This window comes from Homo sapiens, chromosome 22 (assembly GCF_000001405.40).
Source record: "Homo sapiens chromosome 22, GRCh38.p14 Primary Assembly".
Classification (NCBI taxonomy): Eukaryota; Metazoa; Chordata; class Mammalia; order Primates; family Hominidae; genus Homo; species Homo sapiens.
The window spans coordinates 16,554,654-16,578,892 of NC_000022.11; the positions used below are offsets into that span (position 1 = coordinate 16,554,654).

Below are 24,239 nucleotides of genomic sequence, written 5' to 3' on the forward strand. Positions count from 1 at the left end.
GGATTACAGGTATGTGCCACCATGCCTGGCTAATTTTTGTATTTTTAGTAGAGATAGGGTTTCACCATGTTGACCAGGCTGGTCTCGAACTCCTGACATCAGGTGATCTGCCACCATGCCTGGCTAATTTTTGTATTTTTAGTAGAGATAGGGTTTCACCATGTTGACCAGGCTGGTCTCGAACTCCTGACCTCAGGTGATCTGCCCACCTCGGCCCTCCAGAGTGCTGGGATTACAGTGCCTGGCCCTGTAAGGTTCATCACAGCATGACTTACAATAGGAAAGTCATGGAATAAACCCAGTTGCCCATCAGTTGGGTACTGGATAAAGCAAAAGTGGTTCTTCTACAGCATCAAGTACTACACAGCCATGAAAAAGAATAAAATCATGTCCTTTGCAGCCACATGGATGTAGCTGGAGGGCATTATGCTTAATGAATTAACACGAGAACAGAAAATCAAATACCACATGTTCTTGACTGGATAAAGCAATTGTGGCCCTTCTACGCCATGGAATACTGCACAGCCATGAAAAAGCATAAAATCATGTCTTTGCAGCCACAGGGATGCAGCTGAAGGGAATTATGCTTAGTGAATTAACGCCAGGAAAAGAAAATTGAATACCACATGTTCTCTATTAGATAAAGCAAATGTGGTCTTTCTGCATCATGGAATACTACACAGCCATGAAAAAGAATAATATCATGTCCTTTGCAGCCACATGGACACAGCTTAAGGACATTATGCTTAGTGAATTAATGCCAGGAACAGAAAATGAAATACTACATGTTCTCAACTGGATAAAGCAAATGTGGCCCTTCTACACCACGGAATACTACACAGTGATGAAAAAAATAAAATCATGTCTTTGCAGCCACATGGATGCAGCCAGAGGGCATTATGCTTAGTGAATCAATACGAGGAACAGAAAATCAAATACCACATGTTCTCCACTAGATAAAGCAAATGTGGTCCTTCCGCATCATGGAATACTACACAGCCATGAACAAGAATAAAATCATGCCCTTTGCAGCAACATGGATGAAGCTGAAGGGCATTATGCTTAGTGAATTGATGCCAGAAACAGAAAATCAAATACCACATGTTCTCAATTAGATAAAGCAAATGTGTTCCTTCCACATCATGGAATACTACACAGCCATGAACAAGAATAAAATCATGCCCTTTGCAGTCACATGGATGAAGCTGAAGGGGACTATGCTTAGTGAATTAACGCCAGGAACAGAAAATCAAATACCACATGTTCTCGCTTATAGGTGGGAGCTAAACATTGCCTGCATCTGGACACAATGAAGGGGCACCAGAGACCCTCAGGACTAATAGAGCAGGAAGCAGGGGCGGGGGTACAAGGGTTGAAAAACTACCCTGAGATTCTTTGAATTTCCGGCAGAAAGCAGCAACTGGAGAGAGCTTTGGGTCACGGATTTTTCTGTTGCATTTTCTTGCTTGTTTGTTTTTTTTCTCTCTCTTTTTTTTTTTTTTTTTTTTTTTTTGAGATGGAGTCTCACTCTGTGACCCAGGCTGGAGTGCAGTGGTGCAATCTCAGCTCCCTGCAACTTCTGCCTCCTGGATTCAAGCAATTCTTCTACCTCAGCCTCCCAAGTAGCTGGGACTACAGGCACCCACCACCACACCTGGCTAATTTTTGTATTTTTAGCAGAGACAGAGTTTCACCATGTTGGCCAGGCTGGTCTCGAACTCCTGACCTCAGGTGATCCACCTGCCTCGGCCTCCCAAAGTGCTGGGATTACAGGCATGAGCCACTGCGCCTGGCCTCTCTTCTTACATATTTCTACAACTCCTCTAGAATTTGGGGTTTGTTTTTCTTAATTACAAGGAATCAAGTTGAATCATTAGTGCATATATAAATATACATTTTATTTTTAGTACATATTATATACCACAGGAATGTACAATGCTCAGTGCCTGGGTGACGGGATTATTCATACCCCAAACCTCAGCATTGTACAATATCCCCAGGTCACAAAGCTGCCCGTGGATCCCCTGAATCTATAATAATAATAATAAATAAAAAGTGACTTTGTCATTCGCAGGGAAATGCGAATGACATTCACTCTGCCTCTCAGGCCCTTGGATTCCCAAAGTTTGTTTTCATCGCGCCCAGGGGACACTCAGAATCTCGTTTTCAGAACGTGGGTTGTTTTTCTTAGAAGCGCTTTGCAAAACAAAATAGGAAGCAAAATCTTTCTCACTCCTTCCGCTCCGTAATAGACAAAATAAAATGAGGGGGCAGGAATCCAGAGACTTTGACCGCAGTTGGCAGATTTATTGTGGTACAGACATGAAGGCAAGCAGTGTTCTCTCTGATTCTACGAACCGTACAGCCCGGGCCGGCTGCCTTCTGCTTTCTGGATGGTGCAGGCATGAGCTCCAAGCCCAAATTTCACCGGAGCTCCAGGAATCGAGCCTGGCCCAGGCACTCACTGCACGGGGGCCAAGCGTGAAACCAGTGATCGCTCCAGCAAGGTAACAGGACAGCTTGGTGATCCTTCTTGCCGGCCACAAAAGGTTATAGCCAGAATTCCACCGAATGTGGTCTTTCTGTGTCTCTCCCCAGATAGCGAAGCTGGACAAACCTGGGGGTGGGGGGTGGGGGTTGCTGACCTCAGTGGGGTGTCCTGGAGAGGCAGGAACCAGGGTTTACAGGGTGCAGATCCTACTGAAGCAAATGGATGTGGCATCCGCGGGCAGAGCTGGCTGTGGCGTCCCCCCTTCTGCCTGGAGTGTCACCAAATTTCACCGAGAGACCCCTTCTAAACCTGGGGAGTGTGCTGACCAGTGGGGTGTCCTGGAGAGGCAGGAACTAGGGTTTACAGGATGCAGATCCTACTGAAGCAAATGAACGTGGCATCCTTGGGCAGAGCTGGCTGTGGGTGGCCTTCCAGTCTGGACATCTCCCCCACTGCCTGGGGTGTCACCAAATGCACCCAGAGACCTCTCGTCCGAAAGCTCATTCATGGGAAGCCTCCAGGTCTCCTCGGCAGGCAGCATCACGTCTGATTTAACTGCGTTATCAGGTAATGCAGGCCTGTTCTACCTGTGTGCGTGAGCGCGTGGGTGCCGTGTGGGAGTGTGTGTGTTGATGTGGGTGTGGGTGTGTGCTTGTGTGGCTGTGTGTGTGTGCCTGTTTATGTGATGATGAGTGTGTCTGTGAGTCTGTAAGACAACGTGTGTTTCCATGCGTGTTTCTGTGTGAGCGTGCATTCCTGTGTTTTATGGAAGTGTGTTTTTGTGATGGGGTTTGTGTGTGCCCCTGCATTTATCGTACTTGTGTGTTCGTGAATATGAGTGTATGTGTGTGAATCTGTATGGCAGTGTATAAATTCTTTTTTTTTTTTGAGACGGACTCTCCCTATGTCACCCATACGGGAGTGCAAAACATGGTGAAACACCGTCTCTACTAAAAGTACAAAAATCAGCTGGGTGAGGTGGCTCAGGCCTGTAATCCCAGCTAATTGGGAGGCTGAGGCAGGAGAATTGCTTGAACCTGGGAGGCAGAGGTTGCAGTGAGCCAAGATCATACAGCTGCACGGCAGCCTGGGAGAGACAACAAGCCAGCCAGGCCAGCCAAGCCAGCCAAGCCAGCCAGCCAGCCAAGCCAGCCAAGCCAGCCAGCCAGCTAAGCCAGCCAGCCAGCCAAGCTGGCCAAGCCAGACAGGCAGCCAAGCCAACCAAGACACCCAGGCAGCCAAGCCAGCCAAGCCAGCCAAGCCAGCCAGCCAGCCAAGCCAGTGAGACAGCCAAGCCAGACAAGCCAGGCAGCCAGCCAAGGGAGCCAGCCAGCGAAGCCACCCAGCCAGCCAAGCCAGACAAGCCAGGCAGCCAGCCAAGGGAGCCAGCCAGCGAAGCCACCCAGCCAGCCAAGCCAGCCAAGCCACCCAGCCAGCCAAGCCAGCCAAGCCAGCCAGCCAGCCAAGCCAGCCAAGCCAGCCAAGCCAGCCAGCCAGCTAAGCCAGCCAAGCCAGCCAGCCAGCCAAGCCAGCCAGCCAGCTAAGCCAGCCAGTCAGCTAAGCCGGCCAAGCCAGTCAGGCAGCCAAGCCAACCAAGCCAACCAAGCCACCCAGGCAGCCAAGCCAGCCAAGCCAGCGAAGCCAGCCAGCCAGCCAAGCCAGCCAAGCCAGCCAGCCAGCCAAGCCAGACAAGCCAGTCACCCAGCCAAGACAGCCAAGCCAGCTGGCCCACCAAGCCAGCCAAGACACCCAGCCAGCCAAGCCAACCAAGACACCCAGCCAGCCAAGCCAGCCAAGCCAGCCGACCAGCCAAGCCAGCCAAGACACCCAGCCAGCCAAGCCAGCCAAGACACCCAGCCAGCCAAGCCAGCCAAGCCAGCCGACCAGCCAAGCCAGCCAAGACACCCAGCCAGCCAAGCCAGCCAAGACACCCAGCCAGCCAAGCCAGCCAAGCCAGCCAGCCAGACAAGCCAGCCAAGCCAGCCAGCCAAGTCAGCCAGCCACCCAGCCAGCCAAGCCAGCCAGCCAGCAAAGCCAGCCAAGGGACCCAGCCAGCCAAGCCAGCCAAGCCACCCAGCCAGGCAAGCCAGCCAAGCCACCCAGCCAGATAGCCAGCCAGCCAAGCCAGCCAAGCCAGCCAAGCCAGTCAAGGAAGCCAGCCAGCCAAGCCAGCCAAGCCAGCCAAGCCAGCAAGCCAGTCACCCAAGCCAGCCAAGCCAGCCAAGCCAGCAAGCCAGTCACCCAAGCCAGCCAAGCCAGCCAAGCCAGCCAGTCACCCAAGCCAGCCAAGCCTGCCAGCCACCTAAGCAAGCCAAGCCAGTCAGGCACTCAAGCCAGCCAAGCCACCCAGCAAGCCAAGCCAGCCAAGCCAGCCAGCCAGCCAAGCCAGCCAAGCCAGCCAAGCAAACAAGCCAGCCAAGCCAGCCAAGCCAGCAAGCCACCTAAGCCAGCCAAGATACCCAGCCAGCCAAGCCAGCCAAACCAGCCAACAAGGCAAGAGAGCCAAGCCAGCCAAGCCGGCCAGCCAGTGAAGCCAGCCAAGCCAGCCAACCAGCCAAGCCAGCCAAGCCACCCAGATGGCCAAAGAAGCCAAGCCACCCAGCCAGCAAAGCCAGCAAAGCCACCCAGCCAGTCAAGACAGCCAGCCACCCAGCCAGCCAGGCAAGCCAGCCAAGCCAGCCAAGCCAGCCAGGCCACCCACCCAGCCGGCCAGCCAAGCCGGCCAAGCCAGCCAACCAGCCAAGTGAGCCAGCCAGCCAAGCCATCCAGCCAGCAAAGCCAGCCAAGCCACCCAGCCAGCCAAGCCAGCCAACCAGCCAAGCCAAGCCAGCCAAGCCAGACAACCAGCCAAGCCAGCCAGCCAGCCAAGCCAGCCAAGCCAGCCAGCCAGCCAAGCCAGTCAAGCCAGCCATCCAGCCAAGCTAGCCAAGCCAGGAAAGCTACCCAGCCAGCCAAGCCATCCAGCCACCCAGCCAGCCAGGCCAGCCAGCCACCCAGCCAGCCAAGCCAACCAAACCAGCCAGGCCAGCCAGCCTCCCAAGTCAGCCAAGCCAGCGAGCCACCCAAGCCAGCCAAGCCAGCCAGCCACCTAAGCCAGCCAAGCCAGCCAAGCCAGGAAGCCAGCCAAGCCACCCAAGTGAGGCAGACAGCCAAGCCAGCCAAGCCAGCCAAGCCAGCCAGCCAAGCCAGCCAAGCCAGCCAAGCCAGCCAGCCAGCCAAGACAACCAGGCTAGCCAGCCACCCAAGCCAGCCAAGCCAGTGAGCCACCCAAGCCAGCCAAGCCGGCCAGACACCTAAGCCAGCCAAGCCACCCAGACAGCCAGCCAGCCAAGCCAGCCAAGCCAGCCAGGAAAGCCAGCCTGCCAAGCCAGCCAAGCCAGCCAGCCACTCAAGCCAGCCAAGTCAGCGAGCCAACCAAGCCAGCCAACTCAGCCAGCCACCTAAGCCAGCCAAGCCAGCCAGCCAGCCAAGCAAGCCAGCCAGCCAAGCCAGCCAAGCCAGCCAAGCCAGGCAGCCAGCCAAGCCAGCCAAGCCAGCCAGCCAGCCAAGCCAGCCAGCCAGCCCACACAGCCAAGCCAGCCAGCCAGCCAAGCCAGCCAAGCCACCCAGCTAGCCAAGACAGCCAAGAGAGCCAAACCAGCCTGCCAGCCAAGCCAGCCGAGCCATCCAGCCTGCCAAGCCAGCCGGCCAGCCAAGCTAGCCAATCCACTCGGCCACCCAAGCTGGCCAAGTCACCCGGCCAGCCAAGCCAGCCAAGCCACCTGGGCAGCCAAACCAGCCAAGCCAGCCAAGCCTGCCAGCCATCCAAGCCAGTCAAGCCAGCCAAGCAGCCAAGCCAGCCAGCCAGCGAAGCCAGCCAAGACAGCCAGCCAGCCAAGCCAGCCAAGCCAGCCAACCAGCCAAGCCAGCCAGCCATCCAAGCCAGCCAAGGCAGCCAGCGAGCCAAGCCAGTCAAGCCAGCCATCCAGCCAAGCCAGCCAAGCCAGGCAAGCCACCCAGCCAGCCAAGCCATCTAGCCATCCAGCCAGTCAGGCCAGCCACCCAGCCAAGCCAGCCAAGCCAGCCAAGCCAGCCACCCGCCAAGCCAGCCAGCCAGCCATGCCAGCCAAGCCAGCCAGCCAGCCAGCCAAGCCACCCAGCCAGCCAAGCCAGCCAAGCCACACAGCCAGCCAAGCCAGCCAAGCCAGCCAGCCAGCCAGCCAGCCAAGCCAGCCATGCCAGCCAAGCCATCCAGCCAGCCAAGCCAGGCGGCCAGCCAAGCCAGGCGGCCAGCCAAGCCACCCAGACAGCCAAGCCAGCCAGCCAGCCAGCCAGCCAAGCCACCCAGCCGACTAAGCCAGCCAAGCCACCCAGCCAGCCATGCCAGCCAAGCTACCCAGCCAGCCAAGCCAGTCAGCCAGTGAGCCAGCCAAGCCAGCCAAGCCAGCCAAGCCAGCCAGCCAGCCAAGCCACACAAGCCAGCCAGCCAGCCATGCCAGGGCGAGACTCCATCTCAAAAAAAATAAAAAAAGACCAGCCTGGCCAACATGGTGAAACCCTGTCTTTACTAAATGTATAAAAAATTAGCTGGGTGTGGTGGCAAACACCTGTAATCCCAGCTACTTGGGAGGCCCAGGCAGGAGGATCGCTTGATCCCGGGAGGTAGAGGCTGCAGCCAGCCAAGATTGCACCACTGCACTCCAGCCTGGGCAACAGAGTGAGACTCCATCTCAGAAAAAAAAAAAAAAAAAAAGAACAGGTTGGCCAACATGGTGAAACCCTGTCTCTACTAAATATACAAAAACATTAGCTGGACATGGTGGCACACGCCTGTAATAACAGCTACTCGGGAGGCCCAGGCAGGAGGATCGTTTGAACCCGGGAGATGGAGGTTGCAGCGAACCAAGATTGCACCACTGTACTCCAGGCTGGGCAACACGGTGAGACTCCATCTCAGAAAAAAAAAAAAAAAAAAAAGACCAGCCTGGCCAACATGGTGAAACCGCGGCTCTACTAAAGATACAAAGAAATTAGCTGGGCGTGGTGGCACACGAATATAATCCCAGCTATTCGGGAGGCCCAGGGAGGAGGATCACTTGAACCCGGGAGGTGGAGGCTGCAGCGAGGCAAGATTGCACCACTGCACCCCAGCCTGGTCAACAGGGCGAGACTGCATCTCAGAAAAAAAAAAAAAAAGCCTGGCCATCATGGTGAAACCCCGTCTCTACTAAATATACAAAAAAATTAGTTGGGGGTGGTGGCACACGCTTGTAATCCCAGGTACTCCAGAGGCCCAGGCAGGAGGATCGCTTGAACCCGGGAGGTGGAGGTTGCAGCTAACAAAGATTGCACCACTGCACTCCAGGCTGGGCAACAGAGCGAGACTCCCACTCAGAAAAAAAAGAAAAAGAAAAAAAACACCAGCCTGGCCAACATGGTGAAAGCACGTCTCCACTAAATATACAAAAAAAAATAGATGGGCATGGTGGCACTTGTCTCTAATCCCAGCTACTCGGGAGGCCCATGTAGGAGGATCGCTTGAACACAGGAGGTGGAGGCTGCAGCTAGCCAAGTTTACACCATTGCACTCCAGCCTGGCAAACCAAGCCAGCCAAGCCAGCCAGACAGCCAGCCAGACAGCTAAGCCACCCAACCAGCCAGCCTGCGAAGCCAGCCAAGCCAGCCAGCCAGCCAGCCAGGCAAGCCAGTCCAACCAGCCAGCCAGCCAGCCAGCCAAGCCACTAAAGCCAGCCAGCCAGCCAGGCCAGCCAAGCCAGCCAAGCCAGCCAGCCAGCCAAGCCAGCCAGTCAGTGAAGCCAGCCAAGCCAGCCAGCCAGCCAGCCAAGCCAGCCAAGCCAGCTAGCCAGCCAAGCCAGCCAAGCCAGCCAAGGCAGCCAGCCAGCCAAGCCAGCCAAGCCAGCCAGCCAGCCAGCCAGCAAAGCCACTCAACCAGCCAGGCAGCCAAGCCAGCCAAGCCAGCCAGCCAGCCAGCCAGCCAAGCCACCCAGCCAGCCATACAGCCAAGCCACCCAAGTCAGCCAGCCAGCCAGCTAGCCAAGCCAGCCAAGCCAGCCAGCCAGCCAAGCCAGCCAGCCAAGCCAGCCAAGCCAGCCAGTGAAGCCACCCAAGCCAGCCAGCCAGCCAGCCAAGCCAGCCAACCAGCCAAGCCAGCCAGCCAGCCAACCAGCCAAGCCAGCCAGCCAAGCCAGCCAAGACAGCCAACCAGCCAAGACAGCCAGCCAGCCAACCAGCCAAGCCAGCCAGCCAGCAAGCCAAGCCACACAGGCAGCCAGGCAGCCAAGCCAGCCAAGGCAGCCAAGCCAGCAACACTGCCAGCCAGCCAGCCAGCCAAGCCAACCAGCTAGCCAAGCCAGCCAGCCAGCCAAGCCAGCCAAGCAAGCCGGCCAGCGAAGACAGCCGGCCAGCCAAGGCGGCCAAGCCACCCGGCCAGCCAAGCCGGCCAAGCCACCCGGCCAGCGAAGCCAGCCAAGCCACCAGGCCAGCCAAGCCAGCCAAGCCAGCCAGCCAGCCAAGCCAGCCAGCCAGCCAGCCAGCCAACCCTGCCAGCCAGCCAAGCCTTCCAAGCCAGCCAGCCAGGCTACCAGCCAAGACACCCAGCCAGCCATCCAGCCAACCAGCCAAGCCAGCCAGCCAGCGAGCCAGCCAAGCCAGCCAGCGAGCAAAGCCAGCCAGCCAGCCAAGCCAGCCAAGCCACCCAGCGAGCAAAGCCAGCCAGCCAGGCAAGCCAGCCAAGCCACCCAGCCAGCCAAACCAGCCAGCCAGCCAAGCCAACCAAGCCAGCCAAGCCACCCAGCCAGCCAAACCAGCCAGCCAGCCAAGCCAACCAAGCCAGCCAAGCCAGCCAGCCAGACAAGCCAGCCAAGCCAGCCAACCAGCCAAGCCAGCCAGCCACCAAAGATGGCCGGCCAGCCAAGGTGGCCAAGCCACCCAGCCAGCCAAGCCGGCCTAGCCACCCGGCCAGCGAAGCCAGCCAAGCCACCAGGCCAGCCAAGCCAGCCAACCAGCCAAGCCAGCCAAGCCATCCAAGCCATCCAAGCCAGCCAAGCCAGCCAGCCAGCCACACCAGCCAAGCCACCCAGCCAGCCAAGTCACCCAAGACAGCCAGCCAGCCATGCCAGCCAAACCAGCCAGGCAGCCAAGCCACCGAAGCAAACCAAGCCACCCAGCCAGCCAAGCCAGCCAGACAGCTAGCCAGCCAGCCCACCGAGCCACCCAGTCAACTAAGCCAGCCAAGCCAACCAGCCAGCCATGCCAGCCAAGCCACCCACCCAGCCAAGCCAGCCAGCCACCCAGCCAGCCAGGCCAGCCAGCCACCCAGCCAGCCAAGCCAGACAAGCCAGCCAAGCCAGCCAGCCACCCAGCCAGGCAGGCCAGCCAGCCACCCAGCAAGCCAAGCCAGCCAAGCCGGCCAGCCAGCCAAGCCAGCCAGTCAGCCCAGACAGTCAAGCCAGCCAGCCAGCCAGCCAAGCCAGCCAAGCAAGCGAGCAAGCCAGCCAGCCAAGCCAGCCAAGCCAGCCAGCCAGCCAAGACAACCAGGCTAGCCAGCCACCCAAGCCAGCCAAGCCAGCGAGCCACCCAAGCCAGCCAAGCCGGCCAAACACCTAAGACAGCCAAGCCACCCAGCCAGCCAGCCAGCCAAGCCAGCCAAGCCAGCCAAGCCAGGAAAGCCAGCCTGCCAAGCCAGCCAAGCCAGCAAGCCACCCAAGCCAGCCAAGCCGGCCAGCCACCTAAGCCAGCCAAGCCACCCAGACAGCCAGCCAGCCAAGCCAGCCAGGAAAGCCAGCCTGCCAAGCCAGCCAAGCCAGCCAGCCACCCAAGCCAGCCAAGTCAGCGAGCCAACCAAGCCAGCCAACTCACCAGCCACCTAAGCCAGCCAAGCCAGCCAGCCAGCCAGCCAAGCCAGCCAAAACAGCCAAGCCCGGCAGCCAGCCAGGCCAGCCAAGCCAGCCAGCCAGCCCAGACAGCCAAGCCAGCCAGCCAGCCAAGCCAGCGAAGCAAGCCAGCAAGCCAGCCAGCCAAGCCAGCCAGCCAAATCAGCCAGCCAAGCCGGCCAAGCAAGCCAGCAAGCCAGCCAGCCAAGCCAGCCAGCCAAAATAGCCAAGCCACCCAGCCAGCCAAGCCACCCAAGACAGCCAGCCAGCCATGCCAGCCAAACCAGCCAGCCAGCCAAGCCACCGAAGCAAGCCAAGCCACCCAGCCAGCCAAGCCTGCCAAGCCACCCAGCCAGCCAAGCCAGCCAGCCAAACCAGCCAAGCCACCCAGCCAGCTAAGCCACCAAAGACACCCAGCCAGCCAGCCAGCCAAGCTAGCCAACCAGCCAAGCCAGCCAAGCCAGCCACCAGCCAAGCCAGCCAAGCCAGCCAAGCCTGCCAGCCAGCCAAGCCAGCCAAGCCAGCCAGCCAGCCAAGCCAGCCAAGCCACCCAGCCAGCCATGCCAGCCAAGCCACCCAGCCATCCAAGCCAGCCAAGCCACCCAGCCAGCCAAGGCAGCCAAGACAGCCAAGCCATCCAGCCTGCCAAGCCAGCCGGCCAGCCAAGCTAGCCAATCTACTCGGCCATCGAAGCCGGCCAAGCCACCCGGCCAGCCAACCCAGCCAAGCCACCTGGGCAGCCAAACCAACCAAGCCACCCGGCCAGCCAGCCAGCCAAGCCAGCCAAGCCTGCCAGCCAGCCAAGCCAGCCAACGAGCCAAGCCAGCCAGCCAGCCAAGCCAGCCAAGCCAGCCAAGCCACCCAGCCAGCCAAGCCATCCAAGCAACCCAGCCAGCCAAGACAGCCAAGCCAGCCAAACCAGCCTGCCAGCCAAGCCAGCCAAGCCATCCAGCCTGCCAAGCCAGCCGGCCAGCCAAGTTAACCAGTCCACTCGGTCAGCCAAGCCAACCAAGCCAGCCAAGCCAACTGGGCAGCCAGACCAGCCAAGCCACCCGGCCAACCAGCCAGCCAAGCCAGCCAAGCCTGCCAGACAGCAAATCCAGCCAAGACAGCCAAGAAGCCAAGCCACCCAGCTAGCCAAGCCAGCCAAGCCACCCAGCCAGCCAAACCAGGCAAGCCAGCCAAGCCAGCCTGCCGGCCAAGCCAGCCAAGCCACCCAGCCAGCCAAGCCAGCCAGCCAGGCAAGCCAGCCATGTCAGCCAAGCCATCCAGACAGCCAAGCCAGGCGGCCAGCCAAGCCAGCCAAGCCACCCGGCCAGCCAAGCCACTTAAGCCACCCGGCCAGCCAGGCAGCCAAGCCACCTGGGCAGCCAGACCAGCCAAGCCACCCGGCCAGCCAGCCTGCCAAGCCAGCCAAGCCTGCCAGACAGCAAATCCAGCCAAGCCAGCCAAGCCACCCAGCTAGCCAAGCCAGCCAAGCCACCCAGCCAGCCAAACCAGGCAAGCCAGCCAGCCAGCCAAGCCAGCCAAGACAGCCAAGACAGCCAGCCAGCCACGCAAGCCAAGCCAGCCAGCCAGGCAAGCCAGGCATGCCAGCCAAGCCATCCAGCCAGCCAAGCCAGGCGGCCAGCCAAGCCAGCCAAGCCACCCGGCCAGCCAAGCCACCCAAGCCACCCGGCCAGCCAGGCATCCAAGCCAGCCAAGTCAGCCAGCCAGCCAAGCCAGCCAAGCCAGCCAGCTAGCCAAGCCACCCAGCCAGCCAGCCAGCCAAACCAGCCAAGCCAGCCAGCCAGCCAGCCAAGCCAGCCAAGCAAGCCAGCCAGCCAGCCAAGCCACGCAAGCCAGCCAGCCAGCCATGCCAGCCAAGCCAGCCAGCCGGCCAAGCCAGCCAAGCCAGCCAAGCCTCCCAGCCAGCCAAGCCAGCCAAGCCAGCCAAGTCACCCAGCCAGCCAAGCCAGCCAAGCCACCCAGCCAGCCAGGCCAGCCAGCCAGCCAGCGAGCCAAGCCAGCCAAGCCAGCCAGCCAGCCAAGCCAGGCAGGCCAGCCAAGCCAGCCAGGCAGCCAAGCCAGCAAAGCCAGCCAGCCAGCAAAGCCAGGCATGCCAGCCAAGCCAGCCAGGCAGCCAAGCCAGCCAAGCCAGCCAGTCAGCCAAGCCAGCCAAGCCAGCCAACCAGCCAAGCCAGTCATCTAGCCAAGCCAGCCAACCAGCTAGCCAGCCAAGCCAGCCGGCCTGCCAGCCAGCCAAGCCGGCCAGACAGCCAAGGCAGCCAAGCCAGCCAGGCAGCCAAGCCAGCCAAGCCACCCAGCCAGCCAAGCCAGCCAAGCCACCCAGCCAGCCAAGACAGCCAAGCCAGCCAAATCAGCCTGCCAGCCAAGCCAGCCAAGCCACCCAGCCAGCCAAGACAGCCAAGCCAGCCAAATCAGCCTGCCAGCCAAGCTGGCCAAGCCACCCAGCCAGCCAAGACAGCCAAGCCAGCCAAATCAGCCTGCCAGCCAAGCTGGCCAAGCCATCCAGCCTGCCAAGCCAGCCAGCCAGCCAAGCTAGCCAATCCACTCGGCCACCCAAGCCAGCCAAGTCACCCGGCCAGCCAAGCCACCCAGCCAGCCATGCCAGCCAAGCCACCCAGCCATCCAAGCCAGCCAAGCCACCCAGCCAGCCAAGGCAGCCAAGCCAGCCAAGCCATCCAGCCTGCCAAGCCAGCCGGCCAGCCAAGCTAGCCACACTCGTCCATCGAAGCCGGCCAAGCCACCCAGCCAGCAAAGCCACCCGGCCAGCCAGCCAAGCCACCCGGCCAGCCAAGCCATCCAAGCCACCTGGGCAGCCAAACCAGCCAAGCCACCCGGCCAGCCAGCCAGCCAAGCCAGCCAAGTCTGCCAGCCAGCCAAGCCAGCCAAGACAGACAGCCAGCCAAGCCAGCCAAGCCTGCCAGCCAGCCAACCAGCCAAGCCACCCAGCCAGCCAAGCCAGCCAAGCTACCCAGCCAGCCAAGCCATCCAAGCAACCCAGCCAGCCAAGACAGCCAAGTCAGCCAAACCAGCCTGCCAGCCAAGCCAGCCAAGCCATCCAGACTGCCAAGCCAGCCGGCCAGCCAAGTTAGCCAATCCACTCGGCCAGCCAAGCCAGCCAAGCCACCTGGCCAGCCAAGCCAGCCAAGCCACCTGGGCAGCCAGACCAGACAAGCCACCCGGCCAGCCAGCCAGCCAAGCCAGCCAAGCCTGCCAGACAGCAAATCCAGCGAAGCCAGCCAAGCCACCCAGCTAGCCAAGCCAGCCAAGCCACCCAGCCAGCCAAACCAGGCAAGCCAGCCAGCCGGCCAAGCCAGCCAAGCCAGCCTGCCGGCCAAGCCAGCCAAGCCACCCAGCCAGCCAAGCCAGCCATCCAGCCAAGCCAGCCAAGCCAGCCAAGCCAGCCAGCCAGCCATGCAAGCCAAGCCAGCCAGCCAGGCAAACCAGCCATGCCAGCCAAGCCATCCTGCCGGCCAAGCCTTCAGTTTGTTGGAAATGCACTATCTGTGAGGTATGATAAAGCAAAGCACAGTAATACAGGGTACGCCTGCATAAATATACCATTAGTTGAGCTTGGAAGCCGAGAAAACAGCAGGTCTTTACCACGTTATCCCAGGTTCCCCAGGAAAGAGCGTATGTAAGATGGAATTTAAATATTGATCTAGTTGTCTAATCTTGGCCATAGCTTTCGAACCACAGTATAATTATCTAGGTTCAAGAACCATTAACTCTCCCTGATTTCTCAAGGGCAAAGATGTCAATGCCAAGAGAAGATGTTTGTGTTCATTGGTATTTCCAAATATATTACTTTTTCTTTGGGCTTGTTGGCTATAGATAAACCAGCCAATGAATTTTGGGCTAAGAAGTCCAAAACACCCCTATCCCATTAACAGTAACAGCAGCATCAAGAGGCAGCCTGGTATATTGCACTTAGGAAATTTATTGATTCATAGCTGTGTTCTCAGTAAGGTGTTTACCACTACTTTTCGGAAAACGAATTATCTTTTCTGCATGTATATTTTTCTGCATTTAAAAGATACGAGTCTCTTTTTTGAGCAGTTCTCTTTGTAAGGATTGATATTTGATGACTGTATTCTTTCTTAAAAGAAATTTTATTTCAAAGAAAAGAAATTTGCTTATTTTATAGTAGAATAAAACTTCTATTTTTCAGTTACAATTTGTATCTATTGGAAACTTTTGTAAATCTAAGATACGACATGGGATCTTAGTTTTTCTGTATCTTAAATATTTTACTATTTCATCATCCTAGAAATTACTTTATCCATATTCATTATTTCCAACTATGCTAAAAAAGACTAAAATAATATGAAAATATAAAAGAAGGATAGAATAGCCTAGAAGGATAATAAAATAGTGAAGTAAATCATGACGTTACATCATGCTTCAGTTTTCTTATTGCATTGCCCAGTGTCTTGCATCATCTTTCCAGAAGTATAGAAGAAGTCTGCAGACACTGTCTTTGTAATTTTTTTGTTTGGTTGGTTGGTTTCTTTCAGGCTTTCACTGGACACTTGAGAATTCAGAATTTTTCACTTTTCACCTAGAATGATGACAGATGAAAACTGACCAAGGAAGATATTTCACAAGCATTAGACAAATCATAATATGAATGCAGATAGATAGTAGCAGCCTAGAGCAGAGTTTCCCAACCTCAGCACTATTGACATTTTGCGCCAAATAATTCTTTGTTGTAGGAGCCATCCTGTGTGTGCAATCCAGGATGTTTAGCATCCCTGTCCTCTACCCTACTGCAGGCCAGTAGTGCCATCCTGCTAAGTTATGGCTATCAAAAATGTCTCCAGACATTAGCCAAGGTTCCTGGGTGGTCAAGGGGACACAAAATCTCCCTAGTTGAGAACCACTGCTCTAAACTCTAATCATGGTGAAGTTTATTATATAAATGAAATGTCAGATGACAATACCTAAACTGTCTCTCAGTTATCTTAAGTCTTCTCAAACTCAAGATAATGATGAGTAAAGAATATATTTCTAACAACAAAAAGGAAATTTGATAGTATTTCTAAAGACAAAAAGGAAATTTGTATTCACATTCAGTTAGTCATTCCACCAGAATGACTTCATCACACAATATTTTGTGACAAGAACCTGAACAGCCTCATGTTTTACAATATTCTTTTCATCTTTTATTATATGCACCAAAATTTTCTTTTTTAAATTTTCTTGAACCTCTAAATCTACTTTAAAAATTTACCTGATACACTTTTTAAATGGACAAATGCTGAAGGTAGCTGTGTATACAAATGTGACTAGAAGGAAAAAGATGATGTAGAAATACAATAACTCCTTGAGTTGATCATTCTGATTGGCATTTATAGAGTAGAAATGTTTTGTAATTACAGAGGAAAAAAGATGGCCTTTCCTTCAACAGTTATGAGCCGTCAGAATTTTCAAAAATATTGCATTTTGACAATGTAGTTTCTAGTTTGACAATGATATATTTATCTTCAAAACCAGGAAAATGTAGATAAGGATTTGGTTTTATAATATTTAAATTCTTATTAAAATGTATAATAAAATTGTTTTCCCCATCACTTTATTCTTCTGTAAGTTATTTTACGTTTAAAATGTAAACAAATAAAAATAAGTAAATAAACAGTAGCAGCTTCTTTTCCTGGTGAATCGAGGATTGAGTATGTATTATATCTTTCCTGGACTATTGGAATAACCTCTCCCTCCTTCCACAGAGAAGCCATAATAATCTTTATGAAATACAAATCAAATCATGGTATTCATTCTTTAAATAGTTATCAATAAAAATAAAATCCCAACTTTATACCCTGTTCTGCAAATTTTAACGTGGTCTGAATTCAGCTTACATTTCTTCTTTCCCTTGTCTATTGCCCATCAGGCTCACTGGCCTTATTCCTTCACACCAAACTAGTTATTTCCGGGGTGGGAGGAAGGCTTGCAGTGTTTTCTCCATCTGCAATAGTCTTTCCCAAATCTTAGTGTGGATAAAGTTTCCTTCTTGTTACTTGAATCACAAATACTATGTTCTTAGTCATTCTCTGTTACATCATCCAGAGTACATTATATCAATTTTCCAATATTTTTATTTATTTGATTTCCCACTATAACAGAGGCTCTGTTAGTGCAGGGTCTTTTACTCTTTTGTAATCCCAACAGCAAGAACAAAACAAGGTACATAGTACATATTTAATAAATACCTGTTGAACAAATATGTGCCAGTAATATTTCTTCATGCTGCTGAATAAGTTAACAGCATATAAACACATACAAACCAAGTGGCATGGATGTCTGCTTTGATTTTTAGCCATTTAAAAATATACGTAACCCATCCTAAGGGGTTTATATTTGTTTTGCATAATACATTAATATGTACTCATTATTCATTACACAGTTAATATATCTATATTTGCAGGGAATATACATTGCTTGGAATTATACAAAAAAATATTATTTTTCGTTTTCTAATATTCAGGATACAGTGTTTTAATGGGGGTGTTTCTTCATTCTTTTTTTCTTACTGGTTTTTACTTTTTAAATTTGAAAGCCTTGCAGTGATCATAAGGATCTGTTCAGGCAAAGAACATGAAAGAGTTTAAATTTTTATCATTTTAGTGTTTCTTATTCTCTATATCAAAAACATTCACAGGTAAGTTAACAAGATCCTCATCAGGAGGAAAAGTAAATTGTTCACTACCATCCTCTAGTATCCTAATCTGGTCTTGTTGTTGGCTAACTTCAGCAGTTACTATTCTGTGATTGGTGTAATATTAACCAAATAAATTACTGGATTTGTTCCACAAATATTATATCTTAGATTGGTTCTTTCCTGTCTCTGAAAATAAAGTCTTGCAATGAGAATAAATTATTTTACAACAGTTAATTAGCAATGTAAAGTTTATTGAAAATGTATTTGCTTTTTTTGTAAATCATCTGTGAATCCAGAGGGGAAAAATATGACAAAGAAAGCTATATAAGATATTATTTTATTTTACAGAGTAACAGACTAGCTAGAGACAATGAATTAAGGGAAAATGACAAAGAACAGCTCAAAGCAATTTCTACACGAGATCCTCTCTCTGAAATCACTGCGCAGGAGAAAGATTTTCTATGGACCACAGGTAAGTGCTAAAATGGAGATTCTCTGTTTCTTTTTCTTTATTACAGAAAAAATAACTGACTTTGGCTGATCTCAGCATGTTTTTACCATACCTATTAGAATAAATGAAGCAGAATTTACATGATTTTTAAACTATAAACATTGCCTTTTTAAAAACAATGGCTGTAAATTGATATTTGTAGAAAATCATACTACATTTGTAGTTGGCACATTAAATGCTTTTTCTTACTCTGAATTCCTGATATGACTTTCTTTAGGATTGTTTAAAATATTCTAGTAGTTTTAGGTCAATTTAGATGTGATTTAGTTGCTCTAGATATTATAATTTTTAGGGGTTCCCTTTCATTTTTTTCTTACGTTTCTTCAAATAGTATAATGCCTTATTTTCATTTATGAAGAAATTACCCTGCTGTTGGTGATACGGGTATATTTAAATAAACCAGTTGCAGTGCATTTTTGCAGAAAGTCCATTAAGACATAAATTTTGTCCAGTAACCACAGTAGAAGTGGTGACTCTATGATTCATTCATGTTGCATAAGTAGGTGAAAAATATGAGCTATATTCTGTCTGTTAAATGGAATTCTAGAGATGAAGTAGCCCAGGTAAATGTATGTTTGAGATTACTAGATAACTGTTGTACAAATTGGTATGTCACTTAAATTGTTTTCTCTCAGAAAGTCCACATAAATAAATGAAATAGACTAATAATAGTAATATGGTGTAGAAAAAACTCCCTTAACATTATTTCCATAGATAAAACTAATTAGAACTGTAAATTCTAAGGAGATTATTTATCTAAACTAATTTTAAAATCAGAAGTTAAGGCAGTGTTTTAGATGGCTCATTCACAACTATCTTTCCCCTTTAAATATGATTTATTGTCTTTCTCATACACAGATGTATTGCTTGGTAAAAGATTGGCCTCCAATCAAACCTGAACAGGCTATGGAACTTCTGGACTGTAATTACCCAGATCCTATGGTTCGAAGTTTTGCTGTTCAGTGCTTGGAAAAATATTTAACAGATAACAAACTTTCTCAGTATTTAATTCAGCTAGTACAGGTAAAATAATGTAAAATAGTGAATAATGTTTAATTACAATAATAATTTATTTTAGATCCATACAACTTCCTTTTAAAAAACCTACTGCACTAACTAGTTTTATGCTTAAAAAAAATTATTACCAGTAATATCCACTTTCTTTCTGAAAAAATTTTCTTTAGATCGGCCATGCAGAAACTGAACCTGATTTGTTTTTTTTGAATCACCTAGGTCCTAAAATATGAACAATATTTGGATAACTTGCTTGTGAGATTTTTACTGAAGAAAGCATTGACTAATCAAAGGATTGGGCACTTTTTCTTTTGGCATTTAAAGTAAGTCTAATTATTTTCCCATTAAATTCTTAAGGTACATATTACTTGCTTTCTTAATAGATTTATAAATATGTATTACTTATATACTTTTGTTTATGTTTGGCTGGAAGAGTTTTCCATACTAAAACTATTTTGTACCAGTGATGAGCTTCTCAACTTTTGCTCTTTGAAATTTAAAAAGTAATAAATTCAAAACTAAATTTCAGTCATGAATGAGAGCTTAAATATTTTTAAAGATTTTTGTTCTACTTAAGTAAAATTTTCTAGGTCCAGATGAATATTGCTGTAGGTTTCACTGTGTGTATGGATTAAAATATCCCCAAAAAAAGAAAAAAAATGTTTTACCTTGAGATTCAGAACAATAATGTCAAACTCCCGTGGTTCTTACTGAAAAACAAGCTAATTAAGAATAAAAAATGTTTTGTAGAATGTGATATATGCAGTACTCAAAAGTTACAGGTCATAAACCATATAACTTTTCATAAATTTAGAAACAGATTTATATCTAATATGATATTTTAAGTGTTAAAATTTAAAAATGGAACCCAGAAGTTAAGTTGAAAACAAGAAGCGTAGACGTGTGTCAGAAGAGTCAAACAGCATTCACTGAGCGCTTTGTTCCCTCCCTCTTCATTTGATTATTTTTGTGCTCAATTTCCTTTTTTCATGCTTTTATATCTTGTACTGAGATTAGTCAATGAAAACTAGTTGAAATAAACCTAAAAACTAGATGTTTATTTAATCACATATTCAGGAACTACCTGAAACTCATGGTGGTTTTGCTTCTAAATTACAGGTTTTGAATAATGTTATTATTAGTATGATTGTAACATTTATTGGATTTCAAAAATGAGTGTTTAAATTGTTTAGCAAAGATTATTTGTATACTGATTTAAGACTATATATATATTTTTCTAATTTTGCATGATTCTTTTAGATCTGAGATGCACAATAAAACACTTAGCCAGAGGTTTGGCCTGCTTTTGGAGTCCTATTGTCGTGCATGTGGGATGTATTTGAAGCACCTGAATAGGCAAGTCGAGGCAATGGAAAAGCTCATTAACTTAACTGACATTGTCAAACAGGAGAAGAAGGATGAAACACAAAAGTTGTGTGACTCTAGTCTGTGTTTGAGACTCTTTTCACTGCAGTGGGGCAGAGTTGTTTAGAAGCCCAGTGTATATACAGATCATGGTCCTTGGAATCAAGCAGATTAGGATTTGGAACCAAGTTCCACTGCCTCTCATCTGTGTAGTGTTAGACACGTTATGCAGGCTCTCAAGACTCATTTTCTTTGTCTGTAAAATGGGAATAATACCTGCTTCGTAAGGCCATTGTGAGAATTAAATTACATGAGATATGCAAAGAACCTATCACAATCCTTGGAACACAGAAGGTGCCCAATAAATGTTAGATCCCTTTACTTTCCCTTCCTTTCTCTTATTCAGGTCCCTAAGTATTTACAGTGATTATTTCCTTATTCTGTCATTTATTATCTCTCAGTAATGACCCTGAAAATGAGTGGAAAGAAGTTAGTTTTTACATTTCCAAGTTTAAAATGGATTTCGAGTCACTCAGTAAATATATCACACCCTCTAGTCATCTGCTGTCTAGCTTAGTGTAACTAAGAGTAGGAAATACAATGTAAACTTTTTTTTTTGAGACAGGGTCTGGCTCTTTTGCCCGGCCTGGAATGCAGTGGTGCAATTTCGGCTCACTGCAGCCTTGACCTCCTGGGTTCAAGCCATCCTCCCACCTCAGCCTCCTGAGTAGCTAGGACTATAGGAGCATGCCACCACTCCCAGCTAATTTTTGTATTTTTAGTAGAGACAGTGTTCTATTCTGCTTTATATTAAAAGCCCCTTAGAAAATGGGAACCTGGTGAATATATAATGAATTGTAAAATATTTTAATGTGTAACTTTTTCAACTGTGAAACTGACTACTGATTTTTTGATGAAAACAGCTGCTGATAAAGTATTTTGTGTAAAGTGTAGTTCTTATTAATCAGGAAAATGATGACTTGATTAGACTGTATATGCCCTCTTGGATTTTATTTTAAATGGATTGGTGACTTTCACATAGGTAAAACACAGTCCATCTGTATTCTTTTTTCCATCAAAAAGCGAGTGATTTAGAATTATAAAAAAATTTGTGAGCAGCCTATTTGAAAGGCATCATGGAAATTTCACAGCACAATAACATGGATTTGTTTTTTTCTTAATGATGTAAATCCGTTTAATTCATATTTTGATCAATAGCCCATGCTTGCCAACTCTGAAGAAATTTAATTTCCAGCAGTATTTTAAAGCTAGCCTGTTAACTTTTTCTGAATATTTAAAGTTCCTCTTTTTTCTATGTCTGCACAAACTGCAGACCTGGGCTGGACCCACATACTCAAGAGTCCACCTTAAGAAATTATTTTGATGTCCAAGACATCACTAAAATATTTCAGTTTAAAGATAACATGTGGTGTTAATAGATTGTGGTGCTTTTACTATTTAAAGACAACTTTCATACTTCAGATGTTTTTGAGAAGAGGGGAATGTGAGGGGAGGGGGCAGAACAGGGAGGAGTTTGAATGAATTACATTCTTTATATCCATCCTGCTCATTTGGGGCATGTCTTTAAGAGAAGGCTGAAAGTTGTGAGAGTATATTGTATACCGTAAGAGAATCAACTCTTCATCATGGATGGGATTGTGAAGGCTGAACTGTAAAAGTCAGCATTGACAGCATCCTCAATTAATAATTCTTGGTGACAGAATAATACAGCTGGGCTGTTTTATAAATATAAACAATACCATTTTTAATTATTACATTAAAAATTTTAAATATATCTATGTGCCATGGCCTGGGAAGCCTGTTTTCTATTTTCATAAAAATTATTTTTACTGTATGAAAAGATTATGGGGTTTAGCTCAAAATATCTGTGGTCCTGATAAAATTGGATTGGTAACTCTACCTCAGAAGGAAAATGGGAAAAAAAAATAGATGAGTCACAATTCAATACTTCAAGCTCAGAAACTGTGCAGATCACTGAATTTTAGATTTATAAAGTCAGAGTTGGCATGCGTTGTTTTTAATGATATGGAAGACCTTAAGAAAAAAACTTGGCTGAAGTTTAATCGTTGGTCCAGCCATTTGAAAAAGGCAATAGTTCGAGGAGGTTTCCGAATTCGGCATTTGAAATTCATTTTGTTCTCTCTTCTTCATTATTAGTGCATTTGGTGTGTGTATACTTGCACACAATTCTGTTTGTGTACACACTGCTTGCTAAGCCCTAGTCAAGAGGCATCTTTTATAAAAGGTGTAAAGAAATATCAAGGTTCTAAAATTCGGAAGAGTTTAGAATTTATTAGGAGTTTCCCAAGTTGGGATGTTAGTCTTTAAATAAACTTCATGCACCTATTCCACTTAAGGTTTTGCACCTCCTTTTTATTAGTGCAGTGCCATTTCTTCTGCTTGATTTTAGGTATGTTAATATTCCAGCCTTGCTAGTTAGCATAAAGTGACAGGTGTGAGCCATGAGGAAATTTTCTGACTTAATTTTTATACAACTACATATGAGTTTTAGTGGAGAAAAAAAATTAGTCCCTTGTGCATATATAGTAGTTAGGTAAATGATTTTTCTACCAACAGTGTACTCCATTCCTCATGTAGGTAAGTACAGAAAAGGTTTTTAAATGTATTTTGTTAGCCAGTTAAAGTCTATGAATCTATCTGCAACCTTATTTAATCTGTCACTACAATAATTTTGTGGTTATGCTAAGAACCATGTATACTTTTAGGTATTCTTATTTTTGTCAATTTTTCTAGGTTAGCAAGGAGGCAGAAAAGCTTCACTGTTTCATATTAAAATATAATTAGACTAAACTTAATTCTAGTATGAATTTCCAAAATCATTATCTATTTATTTCATTTTTATTTAATTTTGTTTTTAGTTCATTTTTAAAAGTCCCTTGTTCAATTTAATTTATGTTCCTAAGAGTGGTTGGAGAACTTGGCCTTCATCTGATTTCAAAAACATTTTGAGTTTCAAATGAAGTTAATGGTTTCAGTGTGATTCAGTCCTCAGACCTAATTGGGTTGAATAAAATCTAAAAGAATATACCCTTTTGGAGCATAACATTTTAATACCTTGAGGAATGTGGCACTACCAAAAGAAGACTACTAACACGTCAGATGTTCACCTGGAAGCTTTAACAAGAAATTCGAACCACCCTTTTGGCCCCATTAATTGTAGCAAGTTTATTTCTCTATATTTTGTCATTCAGTGAATTGAAGTCCTGTGGTATACTGCATTCATTAGAAGAAAAACGTTTTTAATGTCCTTTTAATGATGGCCCAGAAAGCATTTGACACAGCAAGATGCATGTATTATTATATTGAGAATACAGAATAATAACAGTATCACTAAATTTAAGACCTCTTCCCAGTCTTGCTGTTCCTAGCAAGAAGTTTGGCCCGTGACTGCACTTACTGTTTATGCTCATCAGAAACTGTCAATGTCTGCTTTTCTTTAACTCTGCAGTCTGTAACATCATGCTGTTTATTAAAAAAAAAGAAAAATTACTTTGACTTGTGTCCAAACAATCCTTAGTGTACTACATAAGCAAAAAACTGTGATAATTCTCTTTTGCCATTCCTTTTGAAAAGCAAGCCAGTGTTGCTAAAATCAAAATTTAGCTGAATTTGAGTTCTTTTCAGTAATGACTAAGAATACTTGATTGAAAATCTGAAACTATTATACCTTAAAAGCCAATTTTTCTGCCCCAGTAAAGTGATGAATATTAAAGAAATGTATGTTTAAATATTTACTTCCTTTAAGCATAAAGAATTATATGCTTGTATTTTAAGAAATATATGTATGTATACATACATATGAATGTATGTATATGCAATAGGTAAGTGGACTTTTTTCCAAGTCATTTGAAGATCAGAACCTAGAAATGAAGTTAGGCTACAAGCAAACTGGTTTTGCTTTCAGTTCTCATAAACATTGCAAAAGGTAAGTGTGGGCTTTTCTTTGACCATTAATGCACATAGGCATTAACAACTTAGTATTTCTGAGCAATTAAGCAAATAATTACTTACATTTTATTTATTTGCCAAATGGTTTAAATAATTTTGAATTGACTTTGCTCTCCAGGGATAATATCTCTCTTTGCTGGAATGATTCAGGTAGCTCCTATCTAAATGGAAAACTGTGGTAATTGAAACACACACTTTACATTTTAAATTAGCAGTTTTGAATTTGTTAGGGAAAAAAATCCCAGCAATTGCATATTGTTAGGTAGAAGTCAAATTTACAAAGAAACGGAATAGAGATGTGCCCTTGAGAAAAGTGTAGAATCTCAATGTGCA

General features: G+C 48.2%; 1 pseudogene; it reads left to right on the forward strand.

Moving 5' to 3' along the window:
• Positions 17,371–19,983, forward strand: LOC100422375 (phosphatidylinositol-4,5-bisphosphate 3-kinase catalytic subunit alpha pseudogene; annotated as a pseudogene).